The sequence below is a fragment of the Homo sapiens genome, chromosome 11 (assembly GCF_000001405.40).
Source record: "Homo sapiens chromosome 11, GRCh38.p14 Primary Assembly".
Lineage (NCBI taxonomy): Eukaryota > Metazoa > Chordata > Mammalia > Primates > Hominidae > Homo > Homo sapiens.
In genome coordinates this window covers 63152992-63165337 of record NC_000011.10, presented here as the reverse complement: position 1 = coordinate 63165337, position 12346 = coordinate 63152992, and the positions used below count along the sequence as shown (strand labels likewise).

Sequence of the window (12346 nt, the reverse complement as noted above, 5' to 3'; positions counted from 1 at the left end):
GCTCCAGTTCTCCTCTTGAATGTCAGCAGTGATACCAGTCTGGTGCAATGCAACAGAACCCACTCCAATGACATGAGGCAATTATGATCTTTTTGTTTTAATTGGATAGAATCCTGCCTCTGAAACTTCACTTCATTTGTTTCCAAAGTCTGATATTTTTCTCCAATAAATGTCCTTATTCTTCATCCTTGAAACATTAATACTGTCCAATCTGTCCTTTAACATAGGAACCCTGTCCTTTTATGACTGCCTTTTGCAAACATAGCCCCATGTCAATATTGTGTATATATCTGGGTTTTAAAATCTATGAGGACATGGATGAGTCTTACACTCCCTAGTATTGCCCACATGACACTCCTGTTTTCTGCAAGGAGGGCAGAGGTGTTCCCAGATAGAATAAGTGAGACAAAAAAAAAACTCTTTAGCTCTAATGTTCCCTTTTCTGCTATGGCATACCCCTGATATATAGTGAGAATTGAAGCATCAACTCAGATCCTTTTATTCACTATTTAAGTCACAATATGTAGGCCAATCACATTTCTCAGCTATTAGCCACTGCACATTCTTTGCCTCTATGCAGTTTTCCTACAGTACATTTTACCCCTGGAAACACCTCCAAAGCAGTCCTTTTCACTTCTACCTTGGGAGATGCTGATTCCTTCAGCTCAGATTTCCTGAGGCCCTGTGGTCTTCCTTTCTCCAGAAATGCAGACCCTGCGTGTGGTTTTGGCAACCCTGGGTGTGGGAGCTGCTTCTCTTGGCATTACCTGTTCTACTGCCCAAGAAAATGAACTAATTCCTTCCATAATCAGGTACAAAAGTTTATGTGTGCTCTGTCATTCTCAAAATGGACCTGTCTCAACCAATTGACACTTAACAAGGGAAAAAAATCCAAGACAAGTTAGTTAAAAAACAATCAAATGTAATAGTCATAAAAACAACAAATTACAGCCCAAGTTTATATCAAGCTGACTTTGTTCCAGACGCTGCATTAAGTCTTTTAATGCAGTATCCCATGTACCTTCTGAACCACCTGAAAGGTTGATGTTAAGGAAAATAGCATTTTGTAAATGATAAAAATGTGTCTAATTCACTTGTGAATCTAAAATAAATTGCTAGCAAATAAGAGAAAATTTCAAAAGCAAGAGTATGTTATCACCTCCATGTGTTTAAGTGCTCATCCATAATCACAGCAAAATGATAAATCACAAATTATATGTATGATTTTTAACAACTTTTCCTCTGTTGCTGTTTTTACTCCAAGGGGAAGAGCTACTGGAATCACTGGAAACTTTGCTAATATTGGGGGAGCCCTGGCTTCCCTCATGATGATCCTAAGCATATATTCTCGACCCCTGCCCTGGATCATCTATGGAGTCTTTGCCATCCTCTCTGGCCTTGTTGTCCTCCTCCTTCCTGAAACCAGGAACCAGCCTCTTCTTGACAGCATCCAGGATGTGGAAAATGAGGGAGTAAATAGCCTAGCTGCCCCTCAGAGGAGCTCTGTGCTATAGGTCTGTGCTGAGGAAAGCAAAACACCATTTAGGGCTACCATCCCCCAAAAAGGCTTAGATCTGGGCTATTCCCATGTAGTCAGTGCCTTTGCCTTTGGTGTATCCTCATCCCTTCCACAGTGACCTCATACATCCCCTGAGCCTCACTAGATCACACAGACCATCTCTGCCCAGCCTGTCCAGGAGGTTAATTTGTGGTGAAAAGACCAAAATTAGGTGACCTCTGCCCTTCCTGCCCTGGTATGACATGCATACTCTTGAAGGTATTCTACAAACATGCAGGGATCCAAACACCATCTTCTCATCCCTGGGGAGCCCTCAGCCCAGTGAGTGTACCTGTTAGCTGTCTGGGATTGCCAGTGCTTACAGGCCTGACTCCCAGGACACTGAAGAATTTGTGAGAGACTGTATAGAAAATAAGAGCCCCTCCCACAGATGAGAAGTCCTTTTGTATCACATGTGAGATTCAGTCTATCTAATTTTCACGGGGGAAAAAAAGCGTTGGAAAAGGGGAAAAGAAGTGATAAGTAAAGGAATTTTTTAAGTAATGAAGAATGAGAAAAGGTTCTAAAACTTTTCTGTGCTTCTCTTGCCTTTTCCAAAATCCCTTTGGTCAATGCCATGGTGTCCAAGTGTGAGAGTTGAAGCTATTCAAGCTGCCTTCCCAGATCCTAGGCTGGGAGCTTGGTTTTTTACTTCACAAGGTTTACACAAACACTTGCGGGCAGAGGCATGTTTTTTATTAAAGCTAGTGGGCAAAGAATCAGTATGTCCTAAAGAATGCAGGACTTATATGTTTAGTCCATGTCTTTCATTTTTGAGCTTTTTTGTTTGTTGGTTTCATTATATTTGCACCAGGAGAAGATGCTCCAGAAAAGCAGGGCAGGAAGATACCTGCAGCAAAGTGACACAATTTTAAGGAATTCCAGGTGCTGATTGCTGATTAAACAGCAAGATAAAGGAAAAATCGAGACCATTTCTAGATACTACTAAAATTTAGAAAATAAATAAATAACAAGATATAATGGATAAATACATTCCATTTACAACTGTGATTCTAAATGGTTAAATATAAAATATCTACAAATAATCATAAGAAGTTTGAAGAAAATCATAACACTTTAAAAGGAATCATAATAGAACATTTGTATAATTATATACATCTCACATGTTTCTGGATATGAAGATGGAATAATATTTAAAACAATGATTCTTCCTTAATTATTTAATAGAGTAATTGCTTAAATAATTACAATGTAAAAAATGAAAAAAGTGGAAAAACCTCATTTTCAAGCTGCATACTTTTATAAGAACATAAAAAATAGTTCCAAAACTGGATATCCATATGCAGAAGAATAAAACTAGAACTCTCTCACCATATACAAAAATCAAATCAAAATGCATTAAAAACTTGAATCTAAGACCTCAAACTATGAAACTGCTACAAGAAAACATTGGAGAAATTTTCCAGTACATTAGACTGGCCAAAGATTTCTTGAGTAATACCCCACAAGTACAGGAAAACAAAGCAAATGTGGACAAATGGGATCACAGCAAGTTAAAAAACTTCTGCACAGCAAAGGATACATTCAACAAAGTAAAGAGGCAACCCACAGAATGGGAGAAAATACTTGCAAACTACCCCTCTGACAAAGGACTAATCACCAGAATATATAAGGAGCTCAAACAACTCTATAGGAAAAATCAAATAATCTCATCAAACAATGGGCAACGTGAATAGGTATTTCTCAAAAGAAGACATACAGATGTCAAACAGTCATAGGAAAAAGTGCTGAACATCATTGATCCTCAGAGAAATGCAAATCAAAACTACAATGAGATCTCATCTTACCTCAGTTAAAATGGCTGATATCCAAAAGACAGGCAAGAACAAATGCTGGTGAGAATGTGGAGAAAAGGGAACCCTCATACACTGTTGGTGGGAATGTAAATTAGTACAATCACTATGGAGAAGAGTTTGGAGATTCCTCAAAAAAATTAAAAATAGAGCTAACATTTGACCCAGCAATTCCACTGCATCATTGTATTAGTCCATTTTCAAGCTGCTGTTAAAAACATACCTGAGACTGGATAATTTACAAAGGAAAGAGGTTTAATGGACTCACAGTTCCACATAGCTGGTGAAGCCTCACAATCCTGGTGGAGGGCGAAAGGCACGTCTTACATGGCAGCAGGCAAAAAGATAATTTTTGCAGGGAAACTCCCTTTTATAAAACCATCAGATCATGTGAGATTTATTCACTATCATAGGAAGAGCATGGGAAACACTCACCCCCATGATTCAGTTACCTCCCACTGGATCCCTCCCATGATGTGTGGGAATTGTGGGAGCTACAATTCAAGATGAGATTGGGTAGGCGGACACAGTCAAACCATATCATTCTGCCCCTGGCCCCTCCCAAATCTCATGTCCTCACATTTCAAAACTAATCATGCCTTCCCAACAGTCCCCCAAAGTTTTAACTCATTTCAGCATTAACTCAAAAGTCTACAGTCCAAAGTCTCATCTGAGACAAGGCAAGTCCTTTCCACCTATGACCTTGCAAAATCAAAAGAAATTGGTTACTTCCTAGATACAATGGGGGTACAGGCATTGGATAAATACATCCATTCCAAATGGGAGAAATTGACCAAAACAAAAGGATGAGGCTGTACCTAGATAAAAGGCACTGACTACATGGGAATCGTCTTCCACCATGATTGTGAGGCCTCACCAGCCACATGGAGCTGTGAGTCCATTAAACCTTTTTTCTTTATAAATTATCCAGTCTCAGGTATGTCTTTATCAGCAGCTTGAAAATGGACTAATACAATGGTGCAGTGGAACTGTTGGGTCAAATGTTAGCTTTACTTTTAATTTTTTTGAGGAACCTCCAAACTGTTCTCCATAGCAGTTTTACTAAAGGCCCCATACAATTCCAAAATCCAGCAGGGAAGTCCAATCTTAAAGCTCCAAAGTTATCTCCTTTGACTGCATGTCTCACATTTGGGTCACAATGATGCAAAAGGTGGGTTTCCATGCTCTTGGGCAGCTCTGCTTCTGTGGCTTTGCAGGGTACAGCCTCCCTCCTGGCTGCTTTTGTGACCTGGCATTGAGTGTCTGCAGCTTTTCCAGGTGTGCAGTGCAAGCTGTCAATGCCTTTACAATTCTGGGGTCTGGAGGTCGAAGACCCTCTTCTCACAGCTCCACTAAGCAGTCTCCGATGGAGACTCTGTGTATGGACTTCAACCCCACATCTTCCTTTCACACCGCCCAAGCAGAGGTTCTCCATGAGGACCCCACCCCTGCAGCAAACTTCTACCTGGGCATCCAGGCATTTCCATACATCCTCTGAAATCTAGGTGGAGGTTCCCAAACCTCAATTCTTGACTTCTTTGCACCTGTAGGCTCAACACCACATGGAAGCTGTCAAGGCTTGGGGCTTGCACCCTCTGAAGCCACAGCCTGATCTGTACCTTGGCCCCTTTTAGCCATGGCTAGAGTGGCTGAGACACAGGGCACCAAGTCACTAAGGCTGCACACAGCAGGGGCACCTGGACCTCCTAGGCCTCCAGGCCTGTGATAGGAAGGGCTGTCACAAAGGTCTCTGACATGCCCTGGAGACATTTTCCCCATTGTCTTAGGGATTAACCTTTGGTTCCTCATTACTTATGCAAATTTCTGCAGCAGGCTTGAATTTCTCCTCAGAAAATGGGTTTTTATTTTCTATCACATCACCAGGCTGCAAATTTTTCAAACTTTTTTGCTGAGTTTCCCTTTTAAAACTGACTGCTTTTAACAGCACCCGTCACATCTTGAATGCTTTGCTGCTTAAAAATTTCTTCTGACAGATACCCTAAATCATCTTACTCAAGTTCAAAGTTCCACAAATCTCTAGGACAGGAGTAAACGCTGCCAGTCTCTTTACTAAAATATAGCAAGAGTCACCTTTACTCCAGTTACCAACAAGTTCTTCATCTTCATCTGAGACCACCTCAGCCTGGATTTCATTTTCCATATCATTATCAGCATTTCAGTCAAAGCCATTCAACAAGTCTCTAGGAAGTTCCAAACTTTCCAACATTTTCCTGTCTTCTTCTGAGCCCTCCAAATATTGCCCCAGTTCCAAAGTTGCTTCCACATTTGTGGGTATCTTTACAGAAGCACTTCACTCTATCAGTACCAATTTACTATATTAGTCCATTTCTCATGCTGCTGATAAAGACATACCTGAGACTGGGTAAGTTATAAAGAAAAGAGGTTTAATGTACTCACAGTTCCACCTGGCTGGGGAAGCCTCACAATCACGGCAGAAGGTGAAAGGCACAACTTACATGGCAGCAGGGAAAAGAGAATTTCTGCAGGGAAACTCCCCCTTATAAAACCCTCAGATCTCATGAAACTTATTCAGTATCACAAGAATAGCACGGGAAAGACCTGGCCCCATGATTCAATTACCTCCCACAGGCTCCCTCCCATGACAGGTGGGAACTATGGGAGCTATAATTCAAGATGAGATTTGGGTGGGGGTGCAGCCAAATCATATCAAAGGCATATACCCAAAAGAAAGGAAATAAGTATATCAAAGACGTATCTGCACTCCCACATTTGTTGCAGAACTGTTCACAATGGCCAAGGTTTGGAAGCAACCTAAGTGTCCATCAGCAGATGAATTGATAAAGAAAATGTGGTACATATACACAATGAAGTACTATTCAGCCATAAAATAAAGAATGAGATCCTGTCATTTGCAGCAACATGGATGGAACTGGAGATCATTATGTTAAGTGAAATAAGCCAGGCACAGAAAGACAAACATCACATGTTCTTGCTTATTTGTGTGAGATAAAAATAAAAACAATTGAACTCATAGACATAGAGAGAGAAGGATGATTACCAGAGGCTGAGAAGGGTATTGGGTGCTTCAGGGGAAGTGGGAATAGTTAATGGGGGGAAAAAAGGAAGTTGGAAAGAATGAATAAGATCTACTATTTGATAGCACAACAGGATGACTATAGTCAATAATAACTTAATTCATTTTTAAATAACTAAAAAAGTATAATTGGATTGTTTGTAATCACAAAGAATAAACGCTTGAGGGACAGATACCCCATGCTGCATAATGTGATTATTAATATCCAGTATTTGATAACACAACAGGGTGCTGTAGTCAAAATAATTTAATTGTACATTTTAAAATAACTAAAGGAGTATAACTGGATTGTTTGTAACACAAAGGATAAATGACTGAGAAGATGGATACCCCATTCTCCATGACAAGATAATTACACATTGCATACCTATATCAGAACATCTCATACACCCCATAAATATATCCATCTACTATGTAGCCACAAAAATTAAAAATAAAACATTTTAAAATATATATTTGTTTAAAAATTTCTATTTGATGTAATGTGGTTCACTTTAGGAAACTGCACCATATATGCTTTAAAAGATATATATTCTCCATATGTCAAAATAAGTATTCTAGGGGACAGGTAGATCAAGATGCAGCATAGAAAGTTCCACCCGTTATCCCTCCTGCAGGGACACCAAGTGAAAAGCTATCTACATAGAAAAAAAAAACTTTCATAAGACCAAAAATCAGGACAGCATGTAACCGCCCAATGGGATCACCTTGCATGTTGCCTAGACAGAGCCAATTTATCAAGACAGGGGAATTGAAATAGAGAGAGTAACTCATACACAGCCAGCTATGTGGGAGACTAGAGTTTTATTATTACTCAAATCAGTCCCTCTGAGCATTCTGGGAGCACAGTTTTTAAGGACAACTTAGTGGGTGGGAAGAAGCCAGTGAGCCAGGAGTGCTGATGGGTCGGGTCGGAGATGAAATCATAGGGCATCAAGGCTATCTTCTTTTGCTGAATCAGTTCCCTGAATGGGGGCCACAAGACCAGATGAGCCAGTTTATTAATCAGGGTGGTGACAGCTGATCCATCAAGTGCAGTGTCTGCAAAATATCTCAAGCACTGTTCTTAGGAGCAGTTTAGGGAGGGTCAGAATCTTGTAGCCTCCAGCTGCATGACTCCTAAACAATAATTTCTAATCTTGTGGCCAATTTCTTAGTCCTACAAAGGACTTATTTCTTAGTCCTTCTAGTTCCCAGGCAAGAAGTAGGTTTGTTTCTGTAAATGGTTGTTATCATCTTTGTTTTAAACTGTAAACTATAAATTACGTTCCTCCCAAAGTTAGTTCAGCCTACATCCAGAAATTAACAAGGACAATTTGGAGACTAGAAGCAACGTGGAGTTGGTTAGATCAAATCTCTTTCACTGTCTGTTACAATTTTGTAATGGCGGTTTCAAGCATTCACAGTACCAGATTTTAACTTTACATAGCTGAAAGACGCACTGAAGAAAGATAAAAGAGAGGGATGCCACCCATCCTCCACCCCAGGCAATGCCAGCCTTGTGCAGGGAGCATCTCTGGGCACTGGGGAGGGAGAACACTGTAATTGTGAGGAATTGAACTCAATGCTGTCCTGTTAGAGCAGAAAGAAAAATTGAACCAAACTCAGCTGAGGCCTGCCCACAGAGGAAGCATTTGAACCAGCCTTAGCTAAAGGGGAATCTCCTATACCAGCAGTCCAAAATTGGGTGCCCAAAAACCTTGCCACCCAGGGCCAGAGTGCTTTTGATCTCTAAGTAAACTTGAAAGGCAGTCTAGACCATAAGGAATGCAACTCATAGGTGGGTCCCAGAGCTGAACTAGGCCTGGAGACAGTGGACTGGAGGGACAGGTGACATACTGAGGCACGACCTGGGGCAGCCAAGGGAATGCTGGCATCAACCTTCCCTAACCCAAGGCTGCACAGCTCACCATTTCAAAAAAGGTCCCTTCCTTCTGCTTGAGGAGAAGGAAGAAGCAGGAGGACTTTGTCCTGCATCTTGGATACCAGCTCAGCTACAACAGGATAGGGCACCAGTCAGAGTCAAGAGGCCCCTGACCAGGCCCTAGATCCCAGATGACATTTCTAGATACACCGTGGGCCAGAAGGGAACCCACTGCCTTGAAAGATAGGACCCAGTCCCACCAGCATTTATCACCTGCTAAATGAAGAGCCCTTGGGCCCTGAATAACTAGCAGTGATACCCAGGTACTACATCAAGGGCTTTGATGAGCCTCTGGGACTTGCTGGCTTCTGGTGAGACCCAGCACATTACCAACTGTGATGGCTATGGGGAAAAATTCCTTTTATTTGAGAAAAGCAGAGGGAAAAGTAAAGGAACTTTGTCTTGCACCTTTGGTACTGGCACCACCACAGGTTGGCAGAGCACTAAGCCAGCTCTTGGGGTCCTCCAATTCTAGGACTAGATTCTTAAATGTTATTTCTCGACCTGTCCTGGGCCAGAGAGGAGCCCACTGCCCCAGTGGGGGAGTTGCAGGCCAGGCAGCATTCATGACAAGCTGACTTAAGAGATCTTGGGCCTTAAGGGAACACTGGCAGTAGGCTGGCCTCATAGTCAGGGGTGGCAGTGGCTACAAGGCTAGGCTTCTCTGCCTTTGAAAAGGGGAGGACAGAACAGGAAGAATTGCATCCTTTGGTTTGAGTGCCAGATCAGCCACAATACAATAGAATACCAAGTAGACTTTTAAGTTATTTGATTGCAGCCTGATTCCTGGAGAGCACTTCTGGACCCACTCACAGCCTGGGGGACTTCACCACCCTCAGGAGAAGGATACAGGACTAGTTGGCTTTGCCACTTGCTGATTATACAGCCCCAGGGCCTTAAATGAACATAGGTAGTAGTCAGGGAGTGGTTACAGCAGGCCCTGCATGACAGCCAGTGCTATGCTGGCTTCGGGTCTGATCTAGTGCAGTCCTACTGGCAGTGGCCACAGGGGTGCTTGTGTTACTCTACCTCAAGATTTAGGTGGCTGAGAACAGAGAGAGAGACTGTATAATTTGCACAAAGTAAGAAAAGGGAACAAGAGTCTCTGCCTTAAAATCTAGAGAATTTTTTCAGATCTTGTCCAGGACCATCAAGGCAGTACCTCTATGACACTGAAAGAAACACAGTGTTACAAGGCTTGGGGTACCCTCTAAAGCAGATACAGCTTAAGTCACAACACCCAAGCCCTTTCAAATATATGAAAAGCCTTCCCAAGAAGGACAGCTACAAATAACCCAGCCTGTGAAGACTATAATATATACCTAACTCTTCAATGCCCAGAAACCCAAGAACATGTACTACCATCAACGCCATCCAGGAAAACATGACCTTACCAAATGAACTAAATAAGGTACCAGGGACCAGTACTGGAGAAACAGAGATATGTGACCTTTCAGCCAGAGAATTCAAAATAGCTGTGTTGGGGAAACCCAAAGAAATTCAAGATGACACAGAGAAGGAATTCAGAATTCTATAAGTCATTTGCAACAGGATGGATAGAACTGGAGATAATTGTGCTAAATGAAATAAGCCAGGCACAGAAAGACAAGCATTGCCTGTTCTAACTTATTTGTGGGATCTAAAAATCAAATAAATTGAACTCATGGAGATAGAGAGTAGAAGAATAGTTACCATAGGCTAGGAAGGGTAGTGGTGCATTGTAGTGGAGGTGGGGATGGTTAATGGGTACAAAAATAATAGAAAGAATAAATAAGACCTACTATTTGATAGCACAGTAGGGTGACTGCGGTCAATAATAATTGTATATTTTAAAGTAACTTAAAGAATGTAGTTGGATTATTTATAACTCAAAGGATAAATGCTTGAGGGCATGGATACCCCATTCTCCATGATGTGTTTATTTCACATTGCATGCCTGTATCAAAACATCCATGTACCCCATAAATATATACACCTAAAATGTACCTACAAAAATTTTTTAAAATAATGAATAAATAACAGACACAGAGATCAATGGAACAAAACAGAAAGCCCAGAAGTAAATGAATGCATTTATAGCCAACGCATTTTTTACAAAGGCATGAAGAATATTAATTAAGGCAAGGACATTCTCTTCCATAAATTATGCTGGGAAAGCCGGATATTCAAATGCAGAAAAATGAAACTAGATCCCTATCTCTCACCATATATGAAAATCAAATCAAAATCAGTTAAGAATTAAAATTATGAAACTACTGGAAGACTAAAGCTATGAAACTAAAACTAAAGACTAAAACAATGAAACTGCTGAAATAAAACATTGGGGAATGCCCCAGGACTTTGGAATCAGCAAAGGTATTTTGTGTAAGAAATCAGCATGGACAACCAAAGTAAAAATAGACAAATAGAATTACCTCAAGCTAAAAATCTTCTGCACATCAACAGAATGAAGAGACAACCTGTTGCAAGAAAGAAAATATTTGCAAACTATTCATCTGACAGGGAATTACAAGAATATACAAGGAGTTCAAACAACTCAACAGCAAAATATATATCTATATCCAACTTAAAAATTGGCAAAAAAAAAACATGAATAGGCATTTTTCAAAAAATATACACAAATGGCCAACAGGTATATGAAAAAATGCTGAACATCACTAATCATCAGAGAAATGCAAATCAAACCCACAATAAGGTGTCATCTTACCCAAGTTACAATGGTTATTATTAAAAAGACAAAAATAGGCGGGGTGCAGTGGCTCATGCCTGTAATTCCAGCACTTTGGGAGGCCAAGGCAGGTGGATAACCTGAGGTCAGGAGTTTGAGACCAGCCTGGACAAGATGGTGAAACACCATCTCTACTAAAAATACAAAAATTAGGTGGGTGTGGTGGCACATACCTGTAATCCCAGCTACTCGGGAGGCTGAGGCAAGAGAATCCCTTGAACCCGGGAGACAGAGGTTGCAGTGAGCCAAGATTGCACCACTGCACTCCAGCCTGGGCAACAGAACAAGACTCCATCTCAAAAAAAAAAAGACAAAAATAACAGATGCTGTCAAGGATTGTGAAAAAAAGGGAGCTAATACACCATTGATGGGAATGTAAATTAGTACTGCCGCTATAGAAAACAGTATGGAGAGTGCTCAAAAAAACTAAAAATGGCACTATCATATGATCTAGCAATCCCACTGCTGAGTATATAGCCAAAGGAAAGAAAATCAGAATAGCAAAGGGATATGTACATTCCCATGTTCATTGCAGCAACATTGCACTGTTCAGTGCCAAAGATATAGACTCAACCTGTGTCCATCAACAGATGAATAGATAAAAAATTTTGGTACATATATACAATGGAATACTATTTAGTATCTTAAAAGCAATAATATCACTTTCAGCAACATGGCTGGAACTGGAGAGTTTTATGTTACGGGAATAAAACACCAAAAGACAAATATCAGATGTTCTGTCTCACATGTGGGAGCTAAAATGTTGATCTCATGAAGGTAGTGAGTAGAATAATGGATACCAGAGGCTTAGAAGGGTATGGGAGTGTGGGGAGTGGGGAGAGAAAAAGGTATTAGTTAATTAGTACAAATATACAGTTAAATAGAATAAATAAATTCTAAGGTTCTATAGCAGAGGAGGGTGACTATAGTTAACAACAATGTATTCTATATTTTGAAATAGCTAGAAATGGTAAATACTTGAGGTAATGAACACTCCAAATACTCTGGATTTATTACTATATACTCTATGTATGTAACTAAATATCAAATATATCCCATAATATGTATAAAAATTATATACCAAGTAAAAAGTTAAAAATTAAAATTAAAAAATTAAAGGAAAATGAAAAAATCTGTAGTCAAGAGATAAGGGCTAGCAGCCAAAACTGATCTAGGAAGAAGCCCACCCATCAAGCTACCATTCACTTTCTTCACAGAAATAGAAAAAACTACCTTAAATTTCAAG

At 40.4% G+C, this 12346-nt stretch overlaps 1 protein-coding gene across 1 annotated transcript in view; it reads left to right on the top strand.

Moving 5' to 3' along the window:
* SLC22A25 (solute carrier family 22 member 25) overlaps positions 1-6901 on the top strand; it is an 85163-nt gene extending 78262 nt beyond the window's left edge. Inside the window, exons 11-12 of the mRNA NM_199352.6 lie at positions 704-812; positions 1265-6901. Of these exons, the coding sequence (NP_955384.3) occupies positions 704-812; positions 1265-1514 (359 nt within the window). The 3' untranslated portion in view covers positions 1515-6901. The remainder of the gene's footprint in view (positions 1-703; positions 813-1264) is intronic.
* Positions 6902-12346: the final 5445 nt, after the last annotated feature.